At 44.1% G+C, this 17,853-nt stretch overlaps 1 protein-coding gene and 1 long non-coding RNA gene across 9 annotated transcripts in view, besides 3 other annotated features; one reads left to right on the top strand and one right to left on the bottom strand.

The window, feature by feature from the left end:
* Positions 1–9,554, bottom strand: part of GRHL2 (grainyhead like transcription factor 2) — a 188,762-nt gene extending 179,208 nt beyond the window's left edge. For 2 of the 4 annotated variants that reach the window (NM_001440447.1, NM_024915.4), the window contains exon 1: positions 9,204–9,554. In NM_001440447.1, coding sequence (NP_001427376.1) covers positions 9,204–9,223 — 20 coding nt within the window. In that variant the 5' untranslated portion in view covers positions 9,224–9,554. Of the gene's footprint in view, positions 1–9,143 lie in introns of all 4 variants that reach the window. The other 2 variants (NM_001330593.2, NM_001440448.1) reach the window with 2 other exon arrangements.
* Positions 51–1,027: an enhancer, noted in NCBI's record as "OCT4-NANOG-H3K27ac-H3K4me1 hESC enhancer chr8:102513194-102514170 (GRCh37/hg19 assembly coordinates)". NCBI's record gives its function as "activates a minimal SCP1, AML or CMV promoter by ChIP-STARR-seq in naive H9 embryonic stem cells {active_cell/tissue: H9 hESC(naive)}" and the evidence as "EXISTENCE:reporter gene assay evidence [ECO:0000049][PMID:30033119]".
* Positions 566–735: an enhancer, noted in NCBI's record as "active region_27729". NCBI's record gives its function as "activates an Ori minimal core promoter by ATAC-STARR-seq in GM12878 lymphoblastoid cells {active_cell/tissue: GM12878}" and the evidence as "EXISTENCE:reporter gene assay evidence [ECO:0000049][PMID:35858748]".
* Positions 9,008–9,536: an enhancer, noted in NCBI's record as "H3K27ac-H3K4me1 hESC enhancer chr8:102504685-102505213 (GRCh37/hg19 assembly coordinates)". NCBI's record gives its function as "activates a minimal SCP1, AML or CMV promoter by ChIP-STARR-seq in naive H9 embryonic stem cells {active_cell/tissue: H9 hESC(naive)}" and the evidence as "EXISTENCE:reporter gene assay evidence [ECO:0000049][PMID:30033119]".
* GRHL2-DT (GRHL2 divergent transcript) overlaps positions 9,288–17,853 on the top strand; it is a 31,748-nt gene continuing 23,182 nt past the window's right edge. The window contains exons 1-3 of one of the 5 annotated variants that reach the window (NR_186784.1): positions 9,288–9,345; positions 9,683–10,173; positions 10,363–10,736. This is a non-coding gene — a long non-coding RNA (GRHL2 divergent transcript). The other 4 variants (NR_186783.1, NR_186782.1, NR_186785.1 and 1 more) reach the window with 4 other exon arrangements.

Genomic DNA, 17,853 nt, shown 5'->3' with positions numbered 1-17,853 from the left:
CCAGTAATGGTATCAGAATCTTAACCAGGTATTTCACAGACTCACGTTCATGGTTTAAGAAGTAAACATGCAGTGCTAATCTTGCTCTCAATCTTTCTTAAAAAAAAAAAGCATGTTTTTTCAAACTAATCAAAACTCCAAATTTTCAATTTATACTTAGAATCCCAAAATGAAACACAGAAGAAAAAATGTAAGATTTCTTCTTACATTTCTTCTCAATCCAGGCTTTTAGATCAAAATCCTATACTTGCTCACTCACATGCCCTACGATGCATTTGGATGATCCCTAAGGCTCTTTCTAGCTCTAGGATTCTAGATTGCAAATTAAAACCAAAACCAATTATCTAGGAGGCCAAACAGCCACATGCTGTCGCACCCTAGGCCCCGGCAGCAGCCCCTGCTGGCCGCTCACACTCCACTGAGAAAACACTGGCAACTTAACAGTAGTTAAGCAGTTTCTTCCTGCTCCCTTCTGTCCTCTCCTTTCTCCACTCCTCTCTCCTTCACTTCAGCCTTTCCTTGTCTCCTAAAACCCTGATCTAAATTCATGGGCCTTAAAAAAGAAGGGACTCTGGCTCTCAGGGTTAGTTATATTTGTATATTCAGAGTTCAGATGAAAGGCTGGCGCCAAAATAAAGAGAAGCCACAAGCAATTCTTGCTTTCCGTTTCTGTTCCGGAGGGTATCTGCATTCACACTTGTAAAGGAAGCATTTCCTTGGGAGTGAAAGTGAAGTGCTCCCCACAAAGTTCATTGCCATGTTCATTACAAAGTAAAATAAGGTACTTCATCTACCACAGGCATTGATTGCTTTCCACTGAATGCCCATTCAAATGCATGAACAACCTCCAGAACCCTGACTTATTTTCAAAATATACATTGAAATCTCCTGAAATGCACCAGCTTTTCTAGCACTTCCTATAAGAATTCTTAAAATGTGTTATTTGATTAGTATTGTATGTGGCAAATCAAAAGGTGCTCTTTTTACAAATAATATTACTACTGCTCACCAAAACTCATGAAGCTGAAACACTTCTCTCTTCCCAGTATAATTGGGGATGGGAGGTAGAGATCCCCAAAGGAATGCTTTCTTATTTCTATCCCACTTAACCCATTATAATCCAGTACTTTTTTTTTTTTTTACCATTTCCAGTAAGAAACTTACAGCATAAAACACACTTTCGGTCGGGCGTGGTGGTTCATGCCTGTAATCCTAGCACTTTGGGAGGCCAAGGTGAATGGATCACCTGAGGTCAGGAGTTCGAGACAAGACTGGCCAAAATGGCGAAACTCCGTCTCTACTAAAAATACCAAAAAATTAGCCGGGCATAGTGGCGCACACCTATAGTCCCAGCTACTCAGGAGGCTGAGGTAGGAGAACTGCTTGAACCTAGGAGGCGGAGGTTGCAGTGAGCCGAGATCGTGCCATTGTACTCCAGCCTGGGCAACAAGAGCAAAACTCCAACTCAAAAAAATATATATATACACTTTTGTTATTACCTATTATAATACAGTTTACCATTTACCATTATAAGAAACTTACAACATAAAATGTGCTCTCCTGGTAATGGAAAAATAAACAAAACTGATCTGAAGAGCCTGAATTAATCCAAAGGAAGAAACTATGCAGGCAGGTAGATGGTAGGGTGAATCTGAAATTTGGAGGCCTAAATTTGAAGACCAGTGAAGCTATCTGAGGGACTCCCAGGTACATGTTGTTGTTACTAAGCAACCCACCAGTCCTCCTGGGCCAAAGCAAAAATTCCTATCCAGCCTGTTGCTGCTCATTAAGGAATTTTCCCTGGACAAGTTTGCCAAACCAATCACTACCCTTTATCAGGTTAGGCCTAGTTTTTTTTGTTGTTGTTTTTTGTTTGTTTGTTTTTATTTCTTGTTTGGTTGGTTGGTTGTTTTTTTCTGAGACAGAGTCTCACTCTGGAGTGAGGCTGGAGTGCAGTGGTGCGATCTTGGTTCACTGCAACCTCCACCTCCTGTGTTCAAGCGATTCTCCTGCCTCAGCCTCCTGAGTAGCTGGGAGTACAGGCACGTGCCACCATGCCTGGCTAATTTTTGTGTTATTACTAAAGACGGGGTTTCACCATATTGGCCAGACTGATATCGAACTCCTTACCTCATGATCTGCCTGCCTCGGCTTCCCAAAGTGCTGGGATTACAGGCATGAGCCACCGCGCCTGGCCAGGCCTAGTTTTTATAATTGAACAAGAGTCATTGAAAACCTCTTTAAAAGGAAGAGAGTATCAGTACCCTAGTGAATGCCAGGGATCATGAGTGAGAACTCTAACTTAGGGTAAGGCTTTTCTTATACTAAAAATGACTTCAAATTTTTCCAAGGTTAAACCTAGTTGACATCATCTGCTGCAATGATCTTACCTCTTGGCCCAGGTAACAAGGATGGGCTGCTGATGCTGTAAATACTGAAAGAATGCAGCAAAGTTCACTAACTATAGCAGCACCTAAAATCAGACTCACCGTTATCTCTATGCGCAGAAGCTGTGCAGTTCTCACCAAGTTAATATGGGAGGAAAAAAAAACCAGGAAAGTGACATTAGGGAGACAAACCAAGGAAGGAAAGAAGGGAAGGAGGGAACAAGAAGAAAATGTTAGTTTAAATAAGGGAGGAAGTAAGGAAGGGGAAAAATACTATGTAACCATAGTTAATTTTTTAACCAGAAACGTATGTCTATAGTTAGACCATAAGCCATAAAGAGGAACTGAGGCAGTTGCCTGAATTATCTAAAACTTTTTAAAAAGTAAATTTAACAACCTAACATCCAAAAAATCTGATTTGAATCTTCTGTACATTTGAAACAAACACTTCTTCAGGTGATTGGGTACTGTTAATGTTGTTTAAATGCTTCTGTGTATGTTTGATTTATCCAAGTACTTTTTTTTTTTTTTTTGAGACGGAGTCTTGCTGTCTCCCAGGCTGGAGCGCAGTGGCACAATCTCAGCTCACTGCAAGCTCTGCCTCCCGGGTTCACGCCATTCTCCCACCTCAGCCTCCCAAGTAGCTGGGACTACAGGTGCCCGCCACCATGCCTGGCTAATTTTTTGTATTGTTAGTAGAGACGGGGTTTCACTGTGTTAGCCAGGATGGTCTCGATCTCCTGACCTCGTGATCCGCCCACCTCGGCCTCCCAAAGTGCTAGGATTACAGGCATGAGCCACCACGCCCGGCTTTATCCAACTACTTTTCTAAATTCTCCTTTTACTTTCCTGAGCCTAGTAGAAATTGCTAGACATAGCTTTTCATTGATTGCTCTAATACTTACTCCTAATCTCCCTTAAGTCAGGTGGCACTGGGATCATTTGAATGGCCCAGACCCTGCAGTCAGTTTAAAACAGACCCTCGCTGTAGGCCAACAGAAGATCTAGTACCATCTTATCAGAGTAATACTTCAAGCTACCATGAGCCTTAGAAATGAAACTGCAATCATCATCCTATCAAATCATTTCACCAGAGACCAGCATCAAACTAGAGCTCTTTACCTTTGACTTTGCGCTACAAAATAGAATCTGAATTCAGTGAAACAACAGTCCTCAAAAAAGTGAACACCAAGCATGGCGGCTCATGCCTGCAATCTCAGCACTTTGGGAGGCTAAGGTGGGTGGATCACTTGAGGTCAGGAGTTTGAGACCAGCCTGGCCAACATGATGAAACCCCATCTCTATTAAAAATACAAAAAATCAGCCGAGCGTGGCAGCACACACCTGTAATCCCAGCTACTGGGGAGGCTGAGGCAGGAGAATCTCTTGAACTTGGGAGGCGGAGGTTGCAGTGAGCCAAGATTGTGCCAGTGCACTCCGGCCTGGGCAACAGAGCAATACTCTGTCTCAAAAATAAATAAATAAATAAAAATGTAAATAAATAAAAATTGAACACCAGCTCGCACATGAGTGGGATTCAGCCAGAAACCCTAGCTAGACCTTTGGCAGGCCTGATGGAGGCCCATGTGGGTGACATCACTTCAAATCAGTTCTTTTGCAGCTCTGGAAACATATTCCCCTTCAAAAAGACCCCTTTCTTCCAGAAGCAGCAGTTCAGCAAAACAATGAAAGCAAACAACATCTAGGGCAGGCCTAAGAAGTCTTATATCCATGTTAAAATCATATCTGAAGCTGTTCATCCAAGGTAGCATAAAGTAAAAGTCCACAGATTTCTTTCACTTACACATTGGATATACACCTGAAAAGTTGCATATAAATTGCATCTATTATGTAAACTAACATTAAGTTTAATTTGAAGCAGTGTTGCCCTATTTAAGGCAATTATAATGCCTGGAACATTGTTTAGATGGAAATTCCCTGTGCTCTCGCCTGGAGAATCTGATTCAACACTGCTGGGTTGGGACCCAGGGTGCCTCAGATGATATTTTATATGTTTTAAACTCAGGTGAGTTTGAGATGCAATGATTTTAGAAATTCCTGTGGAGATTCCTATTTTTAAGCATGTGCATCATCTACAACTTGTTTTTCAGTTAGGTTAACTTTGCCTGTATGTCAGTTTACTTCATTGAAAATGGGAAACTCACTAAAGCACATGCTATGCAGTGTTCCTCCAGACACAGTGGACAAATCCATGTTTTCTGATGGATATAGTTTATAGAAACTGAACAAGAGCAAGAGGAAGGCAGCAAGGGCAAATTTTACCTTGCACAAGCCTAATGTTAAGGAGTGGAGATGGTAGCTGAAGGTAGTAGGTTACACTACAAGTTTTAGGGAGGTGGGCGTGTCTGAGGAAACACTATCTGTACTTTGTCTCTCTTTAGTTTCAATCCCCAGGGATCCTCCAGAGTGTGTGCACTTATTCATCTCTGAATCAAGGAGTGTACAAGATTTAATCCATTGTAGGGAACAGAACTCTGGACCCCTCAACATTAAACTGGTGATACTCAGGGAAAGAAACAAGACTGAAGGTTCATCATTTACTCCTTAGGTATTACTATCTCTTGATTACCAAGACCACTTACAAGAATAATTTTGACTGTTTTGAGTGTGCAACTGTCCAGATTATTAAGTAGAGAACTGATCATGTTAATTTATTTGATGGTGCCGTTATCTCTGACTCTGATTCACCCACACAGAGCTCCTTTCTGGTCCTAGACCATGCTAACCACACTCTCACCTCAGGGCCCTGGCACTTGCTCTTCCACCTGCCTGTAACATTCTTACCCCAGGTATCTTAGGGCTTGATCCCTCACTTCACTCAGGCCTCCACTCAAAGCTCACCTCATTGGAGAAGCTGTCCATGATCACCCTATACAAAAGACCTCCCCATTATTCTCAATCCCTCCAGCTGGTTTTGCTTTCCTTCATAGCACTTATCATCATCTAATTAAATATATGTTTACTTTTTTGTTGATTTAGTGTCAACAAGCCTGCCCCTTTTCCCCCACCCCCAACACACACACAGTAAGCACCATGCAGGCAGGGACTAAGTTCTATTCACCAGTGAATCTCAATGCCAAGTATATAGTGGCATTCAAGGCATATTCTTTCAAAAAGTGAATGGGTATATGTATTGGTTTGAAAAAGATATGATAAATTCTTGACGTTTCTAACCTTAAAAGAAATTTTGCATAGCCAAATGTAAACAAGCATATGCATTTATAAAACTAAAGACTAGAGAGTTTAATTAAAATGTAGAGTCATCCCATTACTTGAAATGTTATCCACATGAGAGACCTATAACTTCAGCCATTTTCTGAATAATAGCAGGACTCCTTAACAAAAAACACACAAAATGACTGAAATTATCATAAGCAAAAATGCGATGAGTAGGGAGAGGCAGTTTATCATGACCTGTATTTTTTTTTTTTTTTTTTGAGATGGAGTCTCGCACTGTCACCCAGGCTGGAGTGCAGTGGTGTGATCTCAGCTCACTGCAACCCCCGCCTCCCAGGTTCAAGGGATTCTCCTGCCTCAGCCTCCCAAGTAGCTGAGATTACAGGCACCTGCCACCACACCTGGCTAATTTTTTGTATATTTAGTAGAGACAGGGTTTCACTATGTTGATCAGGCTGGTCATGAACTCCTGACCTCGTGATCCACCTGCCTCGGCCTGCCAAAGTGCTGGGATTACAGGTGTGAGCCGCCGCGCCTGGCCCCTGTATTGTATTTTTAAAAACATTTTTGTAACTGTTGTATTTTTTGTGACTATTAAGCATTGTGTTTATTAGAAGTATGTCTGTCCATGAGTTGCTTTCCACTACAGTGTAAGCCCCCTGAGAACAGGGCTCATCTTATCCATCTTCGCATGCCTCTATTACGCCTATCTGAATGTGTTACAAATAGTAGGTAACCAGAAAATACACTTACCTAATGAAAAACACCTGTGAGTATCAAATCACATAGTACCTACACGTTCTCTAAATATATTTTATACATTTTGGCAGTAAAATAAGAGTTTCTTAATCTAGCATTGCTTCACTTGTACACATGCTTGCTGACAAAGATCTTAAATCTTCATAAAATTTAAGATGGAGTAGAGAATTTTAAAATATGTACAAAGACAAAATGTCCTAAAAATACTTTGTTTTAATTGGCGATAGCATCAACACTGCAGAACATCAAAAGCAGAACGTTTCAATCTGAAAAGTCCACACCATAAAAAAGACGATGCTACTTCAGTCCAGACTTGTTAACCAGAAATATCTTCCTGTGCAATCCCAAAGATTGCCTAAATCTCAATGGGATTATGAAAGAACATCCAGTGTGTGTTCGTTCATGTTATTTCCAGAAACTACAGGCAGGCCTCGTAAGGTGGATTTTCCATGAGGCTGATGAAGCCTCTCACTTGCTCAGGAAGGAAGCCCCACGCTGTACCCAGGGGCCCGTTTACTTACAGTCCCCACCCCATGTCACACACATAGTTGCATAAGCTTCAGACCCACCCCTGCCGGGGCTCCCTTAGAATATTAAGAAAACGAGGCTAGAATTCGCAAAAATGATCCAGAAGTCATGTATTGACTTAAAGCATTTTCAACAGCCCAATGAGAGAGAAACAAACCAGTTGAATTATCTCCTTGCACCATTGTAACGATTACTTTTCCCAGGATACAAAATTTCGTCTTGGAAACCACGACTAGATAAAAGCAACGTTCATTAAATGCAAGCATATGTAATCCCAGATACTTATCACCTGTAAAAACCAGGTGATGCGTGTGGTGAAACCAGATTGCGGGCGCTCAGTACTTATTTCTGATGGTAAACACATTGTTCTTATTGCTGCTAAGTATAACTGGTGAAAATAAAGACCGACCCGTTTTCATTCAGAATTCGAGTTCTGTTGTATCACAAAACTAAGCAAACTAAATGTTAATTGCGCGATTAATTAAATTAGATTTGCAATCATCTTTGACGCAGGCAAAGATCAAAACAAACCCCAAAAACTTGCTGTCGCCTCCGGATTTGGCTACTGAAAATTTCAAACTCGAGTCGTGTTTCCTTGAAGACTAGAGAGATATGGGGAGGAGCTGGGGGTGTTCTCAGACAACCACACACTCTCCTCTTCCTACCCTGCCTCTGACCCGCTCCCGTGTTGGTAACGCTAGTTCTTCCCCTCCGGTATGCTGTACTCGGTTAATTCCTCATCGGTGGCTAACGGGGTACAACTATCTGGCAGTTTTTTGCTTTTTAAGTATGACAGCGCATTTTCTTAGGTTCGCCTAACCTGCCAGCGGCTTTATGTTGAGGCTAGTCCTTCCCCTCCACCCCTGAACAGGTCCGCAGGGCCTTCCCACTCCTCCCTCGTGGTCCCTCAACTTGGGACGGGTCCCCGCCACTTCTCCATGACAGGCCCAGCGGCCCGCGGCCTTGGGGCACCGGCCCTCTCCGGCGAGACACCTTCAGGAAGGTCCCCTCGGGGTGGCCGCAACGCCACGGCAAAGTTACCGGGGAAAGCAAAAGGGCGGCCCCGCGCACTTCCAATAGGACGCAGCCAGTTCCCAGGCCCGGACGCGCCCGAGAGGAGGGGGAAGGGAGTGTCCCCGCCGAATCCCGAGAAAGGCCGCGGGACCCACCTCCGGCTCCCTCCCGCGCCCGCCCAGGCCCCACCTCCCCCGGCTCGCACAAAGCCTTCCGAGGGCGGGGGCCGGCCAGGGGGGAGGCCGTCAGGACGCGGCCGGACCGGGCCCAGTGACCCGCGGGCGGCTCCGGCCGCGCAGGCTGTGGCTCCCCGACGCGTCTGGAGTGCCTGTCCGGGACGGGAAGGACGCGAGCCCAGCGTTCCCGCCGCCCCGAGCCCTCGGCCTTGACGGCGAGAGCACCCCGAGAAGGCTCGGCGCGCCCCACGCAGTCCCGCCTGCCGCGTCCGAGGTGGCGGCCAACTGCGTGGAGGGCCGCGAGCTCGAGGGGCGTGCAGACGCCGTCGGGGGCGCGGGTGAATCGCTCAGTGGCAGGCGCCCCTTCGCGCCCCGCCGAGGCCCTAACTCGAGGCCTCACATGAGTTCCCCCAGTTCGCGAACCGTCCTTTCCCCCCGGGCACCTGAGGAAGGTGGCCAAACAATGCGGGGGCGGACCCGGGGGAGGGAGGCGGGGGAGGGGGGAGGAAGGCGGGATGTCGAGGGAGTGGGGGACGGCGCCGGCCGCCCCCGCGCCCCCCGGCCTCCCAGCGCCTCGCCTCCCATCGGGGCCACACGCGGGCGCGCACTCACGCCCACCCTCCTGCCCGGTGCGAGAAGATGGCCGTTTCTGCCTCATATAAAAGCTCTTTGTTGCGGTCACACAAAAGCGGCCAAGCCCCACTTTTCCAGTAGGCCCTTTGGACAAATCGAAGGAACTCAGCTGAACTTCCAAATGGCCCTAAACGCCAGATCGGTGGGAGCAGCTAAAACAGAGAGGGAAGAGCAGGCCTCCCGCGCCCATCTACCAAAACCTCTGGCAATATCCAAGTATTCATCCAGGAGCGGGAGCTGAGACCATTCCTAAGGGAAGAAGGAAAAGGAAAACCCACTTTTACTATCAAGGCCCAAAGGGGATATTAAATATTCACATTGTTGTAGGGTTTCTCCCCTTAATCAGGGTAGAAACATAATGCGGAAAAGTCTGGATCCACCAAAAAGAAAAAGAAAAAAGAAAGAAAAATACCAACAATAGCAACTTAAAAACAAAAACATAACAAACCAGTTGCCATCAGCCCAAAGTGGTAGTAGTAGCAGCAGCCGGCGCGTGTGATCCACTTACTTGTCCGACTCTTGTGACATGTTTGATCCAATGAACTTGCTCCGCTTTTCCTGGAGCCTCAGCCTCTGGTGAAACTGGACTTTCAAGTCTGTGCAGGTGAAGGTGTGTGAGAGCGCCCGAGATGGCAGAACAAGAGCTACAGGTAATTCTGCTTTTCCGTCCCCCCTCACCACTCTCGCTCGCTCGCCCGCTCGCGCCCTCACCTAGCCGGAAAGGTGGGATAAGGGGGGGCCCCTCACATGGGGCCCGAGCTCGGAGGCGGCCGGGCGGCGCGGAGTCCTCCTGGATCGTGGCAATGGGCAGACACAGAGCAGAAAGTGGCGGACTTGGGCGGCCACAGGTAACTTTCTCGCAAGGAGCTGAATTCTTTCACTAAAGGGTACAAGCCCGAGGGACGAGCTGCGCGATGATTGGCTGGGGAGCTCCCTCAGGTGAGCTGCCATTGGCAGAGGCGCGCTCAGGTAAGGCCCTTCTCCGAGTGCAGGTAACTCACTCCGAAGTTTACCCGAGTGGAGCGGCGGCATGCTTGCAGCTCGGCGGCAGCCTGTGAGAGCTGAGGGTCAGTTCTTCGAGTAGATCTCAAGCTGCGTTTTCCTCCTTCTCCAAAGCAGGGATGGGAAGGTGGAGGCTACTGGTTGAAGAGAAGAAAGGGGTTGGGGGAATGCAACACCTGCAAACACTAGGGATTGTGGGTCGAGCGGAAGAGCTAATGAGAGCCGAGCTCAGGTATCCCAAGTCAACCAGAATCAAATGCGCAGTACGCCACAAGGCATTTAATGCCCACAGTAACAGGGCTGTTTGACAGTGGCAGAAGAGGACGGGACTAAAGTTACTTTGTGCTGAGAGGGGGAAAGAAGCACAAAGTTTGGTCTGTTGCGTAATTGAATTTTTAACACTCTTATCCACAACAAACACTTTTTCGTGTCCTGCTGTGTAAAAGACATCAGATATATTACAGATTTTCAAACAGGTGAGCATCCTTTTACGAGCTGGGCAGGTGGGGAGTGGCGTGGTTTTGATGGAGTGAGGAGATTTGGTTGAATGAACGCTAAGATGGCCAGACGCACCTCTTCGATCTCAACTCTGCAGCCTGGGATTCCAGAGCTGCAAACAACCACTGAATTCGTTCTGTAAACCTGTTGTCATTTGACGTTTCCAGGCAGGCATCAACATTTACATTGTAATTCAATAGACGCTACTACTACAAAGGAGCTTTATTCTTCCAGCTTAATATGGTTGCTGCGGGAACACTGCAGGATGAAACTGACTTTTTTTGTGGTAATGTTTCTCCTGGTTGGGAACAACGCAAATTAGCAAAGGCGTAATTTATAACCGCTGCTACCAAAGAGTGAAGTATTTGTGGAAGTTCTGACTGGAATCTAGCTCGTACATATGGATTGTGGAAATAAAGGAGGACGTGGAAAGCTTGCCATATTTTATTTCAAGTTAATACTAAAGCTGCCAGACTTAATACAACTTTCTTTTAATCTTTATGGATCACATATTTTCTGAAAATTACATGATAAAACAAGGTTTGGTTTGTTCCATGTGTCCATTTTCAACAATAAATTTCAAAATTGTATTTTTAAAAAACAATATAAACACACACTTTAAAGAAATAATATATTTTAAGACAATGCAGGTACTATTTTAATATAATATTTTAAGATAATGCAATACCTATCATGTTCCTCTCCTTTTTAGAGGCAGCCATATTCTGCTTTTATCTGTCTCTTCTGTCATTTACCTCCCTATTTCTAAATAATTTGTACTGCCATCTCTTGATTTGCCAATAGATGTTGTGCTCTGACTACCTGTTGCTTCAGATTAGGATTTAGCTCTTTCATGCCAAGCAACTTCTCCTTCCAACACAGCACTTTCACAGTTTAGGAGCTAAGTAAGTGACTATGCCAATAGCAATGACAACACAGCCAATAGTGTACTATTCTTGTTTTCTTCCTTATAAAACCTTGTATCTATTTACTTAGTTTGTTATGCCCCATCCTGATATTTTTCTACAACTGATCTATCAAATGACTATCATGTTTATTTTCCAAATGATCAAACAATCAATTCCAATTTTGCCCTGAAAACAATTCCTCCAGAAATTCATTGTTCTACTGTTTCAGTGGAGATGAGTTGCTCTATGGATCCGCTTCTCAAGTGTCATCCTGGGACACTCTTTTTTTTTTTTTTTTTTTTTTTTTGACAGAGTCTCTCTCTGTTGCCCAGGCTAGTGTGCAACGGTGTGATCTCAGCTCACTACAACCTCTGCCTCCCGGGTTCAAGTGATTCTCCTGCCTCAGCCTCCCAAGTAGCTGGGATTACAGGCATGCACCACCAAGTCCAGCTAATTTTGTATTTTTAGTAGAGACGGGGTTTCTCCATGTTGGTCAGGCTGGTCTAGAACTCCCAACCTCAGGTGATCCACCTGCCTCAGCCTCCCAAAGTGCTGGGATTACAGGTGTGAGCCACCGTGCCCGGCCTGGGACACTCCTTAATCTGTAGTGTGAGAACCCCCATTTCTGTGTTTTGTGCCTTCTTTCTTGGTTTACTGCTTCATTTTCCATGGCACATGTTTTAGTAACAGCCCAAGAAAGGGTACAGAAGGTAAAAATTTGAGTTATTACATACTTGAATATGTCTTTATTCAACTTTTACTTTTACTAGAGTTTGACCAAGTGTAGAATTCTTACCAGAATTTCTTCATTCATAATTTTATAGAAATTGCTTTTCACTTATTTATTTTAATTTTTTAATTAAAAAAAATTTTTAGGCCATGCACAGTGGCTTGCACCTGTAATCCCAGCACTTTGGGAGGCCAAGGCAGGAGGATCACTTGAGTCCAGGAGTTCAAGATCAGCATGGGCAATGTAGCTAGACCCCATCTCTACAAAAAATACAAAAATTAACCAGGCATACTGGTGTGCACCTGTAGTCCCGGCTACTCAGGGGGCTGAGGAGAGGAGATTGCCTGACCCCAGGGAGGTCAAGGCTGCAGTGAGTCAAGATCATGACACTGCACTCCAGCCTGGGCTACAGAGCAAAACCTTGTCTCTAAAAAAATTAATTAATTAAATTTTTAAAAACAAGTTCTTACTCTGTCACACCACCTGGAGTGCAGTGACATGGTCATAGCTCTCTGCAGCCTCAAAATCCTGGACTCAAGTGATCCTCCTGACTCAACTTCCCAGGTAGCTGGGATTACAGGCAAAAATTGCTCTTTTATCTTCTAGCTTCCAGTGTTACTATTGAGAATGTCACTTAATTTTGCTGTGCTTCAGTTTCCTCATCTATAAAATGGAGATTATAATAGTAATTATCTCACTAATATGTCTGAACCACTTAGAACATTACCAGGCACTTATTAAATTCTCAATTATTATTCAATCTTATTATTTATTTTTTAAACTGGATTAATCTCAGAATGTTCTTTTTTTTTTTTTTTTTCCTGTTGCACATGTCTTCACCTTTTGTCCTATTTTGGAAGATATTTTCTTGCTTTACTTTCTACTGCAGTTGTTACCTCAACTATTTAAAGAGCTCATTTCATGCTGTCTGTTATAAAGAGAATTTAGTGATTATGTCACAGTCGCACTAGTTTTTTCTATCTTTTGAGAGTATTTACTTACTGTAGGGCTTTCTTTGCCTCCTGCCTTGTCTTGGCTTTCTCTAGCTTCCCTTCTCATGTATTTGTTTTCGTCCCATCACGTTAGAGGCTTTCATCAACTGTCTGCAAACCTTTTCCTCTCCTTTCATAAGTAGGAATGAGGTAATAGAAACCTCACCAGAAACTCTATATGTGGGTGAGAAAAATGTGCTTGCTCACTGGTGGGTTTGCTGTATGGTGATCAGATGAAAGCTCATTTTTTCATGGGAAGATACCTCAAATGTCAGAAGCTAGATGTCTTTTCTTTGGGGCTTGTCAGTTTCTCATGAGAAATATCTTATAATCTCTTGCCTGAGGAGGCATTCACTTGGCTGCCAGTGTTCTGGAAGTAGTTCAGGGGAAGAGGTCTGGATGAGTAACTGCTTAGGGTGCAATCTTTCACACTCTTTCCTTTCCGGCAGTTGCCTTATTCCTGCCCTTCTTTGTGCCTGCTGGACAAGCCTCTCTCCTCTTTCTCATGCTGACTGCGAGGAGTGGGACAGGGCACCTGAGACTCCAGCAACTCCAAGTGCCAACATTGACCTGGCCTCTTGCTTTTAGCTGCTCACCTCTCCCTCACCCTTCCGGGATCCTGGGGCCCCTCATCAGCATTTTCTTCTAGTGATCTCTGTCATCTCCAAGGCCCAGACCACTCTAGGGTTTTGTAGGGAATTGGGCTCTTTCTGTACTGACCACTATGGCCATATTAGAGTGTAGCTTTCACTGTTCTGTTAAACTAGTTTTCACTCCTCCATCGACCCTCTCTATTCTTCAGAATTGTGTTGAAATATAGCTTTTGCTGATGACTCCTCCTCTATCTTCTTTGCCCCTTTGGATTTATCCCTTCATGTTCTTTTACTATCCTTTTCAGGGGAGAATGAAGATAAATATGTGTGTTTAATCGTTTAATCTGAAGTCCGTTTCCAAAATTATACAAAAGATTTTACCAAACTGTCCCAAATTGTCTGTGCAAAGAAACCCAGTGTTTATGGTTAAACCATTCCTTTTGTTGGTTTATGATAGTCAAGAATCTTTTCTTCTTCTTTGGTATCTAATAACTCAACTTTGTTCAGATAGCTTGTTGTCCCCCTACTGGCTAACTACTGCTGTATTCATTGGTTAGATTAGCAAAGGAAAATGTTCGAAAGGACCATTTTAAATTGTCAACCATGAAATTACCTGTTACCCAAATATTTTGATTCCTTTGGCAGAAGAGTAGTATATAAATATGAAAGTTTCTGCCACGCTCACCATGAGACTCTACTACTCTGTCTCCAAATATCTTTATTCATAAACACTTAAGTACAGCAGTGGTTCCCAAAGTGTGGTCCCTGGATGGACTGTCAACATCAGATCCCCTGGGAAATTGTTAGGAATGCAGATTCACCAACTCACTCCAGACCCATGGAATCAGAAATTCAAAGAACCTGTGTTTCTAACAAGCCTATAGGTGGTTCTGATGCGTCTTAAAATTTGAGAAACACAGTACAGTATTCTGACAGCATAAAGTTGCACACCCTTAGCCATTGAAGACCATCATCCTAAATTATGCTGAACATGCAGTTTTGCAATAGACAGCCATAGAGTAAATAATGGATTTTACCTGTGTGGATTCTTCCAGTCTCAACCTAGTGATTATTTATTTAATGGTTGGCCACTGTCCTTAGTTGGAGTAGTTAGCTCCTCAAAATAATGATCCTGGAATCTGCTGCAGTATGCATCATGAACTTGGAAGTTTCAGCACAGTTTAGAGTTTGATGGTTATTTTAGGAGGCAGCAACAAAGCAAATGTTCATATAAAAACTGGTAACAAGATAGTGCTGTTTCTAATGAAATTATTTATTTATGAGGTAAAAATTCTAATTAAATTCCTGGGGAAAAATAGTGTTATTTTGATTATCATTTAAGTAATGGTCTTTAGCATCTATTAAGATGGCTAATCTCGTTTTCTTATTGTAAAAAGTATTTAGAATTTGATGCTAAATTGTCATTTCATTATGATGAATCTCTTATTATAGTGAGACTTGGGGAAAACGATGCCATTCTATGGCATCTGGGCAGAAGAATTCAGTTGTGTTTTTTTGTTTGTTTTTGTTTTTGTTTTTTTGAGACAGAGTCTTGCTCTGTTGCCCAGGCTGGAGTGCAGTGGTGTGATCTCTGCTCACTGCAACCTCCACTTCCCAGGTTCAAGTGATTCTTCTGCCTCAGTCTCCTGAGTAGCTGTGCCCACCACCAGGTGCCTGCCACCACGCCCGGCTAATTTTTGTATTTTTAGTAGAGACGGGGTTTCACCATGTTGGCCAGGCTGATCTGGAACTCCTGGCCTCAAATGATCCATCCACCTTGGCCTTCCAAAGTGCTGGGATTACAGGCATGAGCCACCGCGCCCAGCCAGAATCCAGTTTTAAAGGGCTGCAGATCTAGTTGAACAAGTCTGCCTGCTGACCGTCTTCCACCATATGTCATCATATGCGGGGCCAGTATAGCAGATCTGCCATTGAATCTGTTGTGAAGCCATGACAGGTACTATCTCCTCCTAGGTTGTTTTGCACTATAAAAACACTAATTTATTAAATTGACTATTATCCCCAAGAAGGAACCTGGAGAAGAATAAAATATACCTGGATGCCTGAATTTGAAATCCACCTAAGGATGTATAACTTAACCAACTGAACATTCAATGGCAGTTGCCTTGCAGTTTGGAGCCTCTTTTTCAGCCAGCAGCCAGCTGAGGTTTGTATATTTATTAAGGATAGCAAGTGTTTCTGTTGCTGGAACTGGCCATAGGTAACCCTTTCACAGAAAGCACTACCCTGTTAAAACAGCATTGAGCATGTATCTTTATCTCTATTCCTTCATCTTTTTTTTTTTTTTTAAATTTTAAGACAAGGAGTCACTCTATAACCTAGGCTAGAGTGCAGTGGTACAATCCTAGCTCACTGCAGGCTGCCTCAATCTCCTGGGCTCAAGCAATGCTTGGCCTCTCAAAGTGTTGGGATTATAGGCGTGAGCCACCACATCCTGGCCCTCTAGTCCTTCCTGAATCCTCAGTGATAGAAGAGTAAGGAAGGAGATGAAAGTATTAAAGATGACAACAAAATTGGGAAATTGGAAAGTGACTGAAGGAGTAAAAACTGATTTAGCAGAATTGAGACAGATGAGCTTAATCATATGCAGACACTGAGGATCATGACCATTTAGCCTGTAGAACATCAGAAAGGCATAGAACAGGGGTGTCCAATCTTTTGGCTGCTCTGGGCCAAATTAGAAGAAAAATTGTCTTGGGCCACACATAAAATACACTAACACTAACAATAGCTGATGAGCTTTAAAAAAAATCTCATAACGTTTTAAGAAAGTTTACAAATTTGTGTTGGGCTGCATTCAAAGCCATCCTGGGCCACATGTGGCCCACAGGCCAAGGGCTGGACAAGCTTGGCCTAGAAAATCAAGTGTCTGATTATCATTGAAGGTGGGAGTAAGTGATAGGGCTGATGCCAGAGGGATTGATTCAAAAGCCAGATACAAAGCTGTTAGGCCCCTAGGCCCCTAGGCCACCACCTCCACCCAGTGCAAGTAAGCTCCCATCCATATTAGTTTTCCAGGCTGCCATAACAAAATACCACAGATAGTGTGGTTTAAACAACAAAAGTTTATTTTCTCACAGTTCTGGAGGATAGAGGTCCAAGATCAAGGTGCCAGCAGAGATACTTTTTTTGAAGTCCTCTCTCCTTGGCTTGCAGACAGCCATCTTACCGGGTCCTCACATGGTCATTTCACTGTGAGCCCACATGTCTGTGTTCTAATCTCCTTTTCTTATAAACATATGGGATTAGGGCCCACCCATTTGACTCCATCTTACCTTATTTACCTCTTTAAAGGCCCTATCTCCAAATACACTCACGTTCTGGGGTATGAGGGGGTTAGGACTTCAACACTTGAATTTAGGGAGATACAGTTCAGCCCAAAACTCCATCCCTCCTCCATGCTAGCAGGAGACAAAGTGTACTGTAGTGAAATTGAACCAGGAGGACTTCCCACTTGGGTACATCAGGGGAACTATCAGGAGAGAGCCACTGGACCTACAAGAAGGAGAGCAAGTGAAAGATCGTATGCTAATCAGTGAGATATCATCTCATAGTTTCCTCCACCCAGCTTAGTAAGCCAGGAGCCAAGTTTATACCACCACCACCCATGCCTCTCCCCCAAGGCAAGAGATCAGAAGATGTTTCTTTAAATAAATTACAAGGTCCTAGAAAAAGATCTACAGATGTGAATGTGTAGGTGTTCCCCAATCTGGAAGAAGGAAGGGAGGAAGGGAGGAAGGGAAGGAGGGAGGGAGGGAGGGAGAAAGAAAAGAAAGGAAGGAACCGGGTGCGGTGGCTCATGCCTGTAATCCCAGCACTTTGGGAGGCCGAGGCAGCCGGGTCACCTGAGGTCAGGAGTTGGAGACCAGACTGACCAACATGGAGAAACCCCGTCTCTACTAAAAATAGAAAATTAGCCAGGCGCGGTGGTACATGCCTATAATCCCGGCTACTCGGTGGGCTGAGGCAGGAGAATCGCTTGAATCAGGCATGCGGAGGTTGTGGTGAGCTGAGATCACACCACTGCACTCCAGCCTGGGCAACAAGAGTGAAACTCCATCTCAAAAAAAAAAAAAAAAAGGAAAGGAATGAGAAAAAAAGGAAGAAAGATGCTTGCTGTCTACCATATCTCCCTTCAAAAAAGTCGTTCAGTTCCACCCTCACACAGAGCCTCTAATGAGCTTCTTATACCACACTTAAATATAAACATGAGGTCAGAGATCATCAGTGTTTGAGAAAAGCCTCCAAAAGGAAGTAAAAACACCAGAACAAAAGTCTAACTAAAAGAATAACTTTGAGAAAAACTGATAGTACAGGGATGGAATAAAGAGTATATAATTAATACGTAAACAAATAACACACCGATGAAACAAGAACAATGTACTATTTAAGAGCAACAAAGGGCCAGGCGCAG

The sequence above is a fragment of the Homo sapiens genome, chromosome 8 (genome assembly GCF_000001405.40).
Source record: "Homo sapiens chromosome 8, GRCh38.p14 Primary Assembly".
Lineage (NCBI taxonomy): Eukaryota > Metazoa > Chordata > Mammalia > Primates > Hominidae > Homo > Homo sapiens.
The sequence above is the reverse complement of the archived record's forward strand: the minus strand, read 5'-3'. Positions and strand labels throughout refer to the sequence as shown.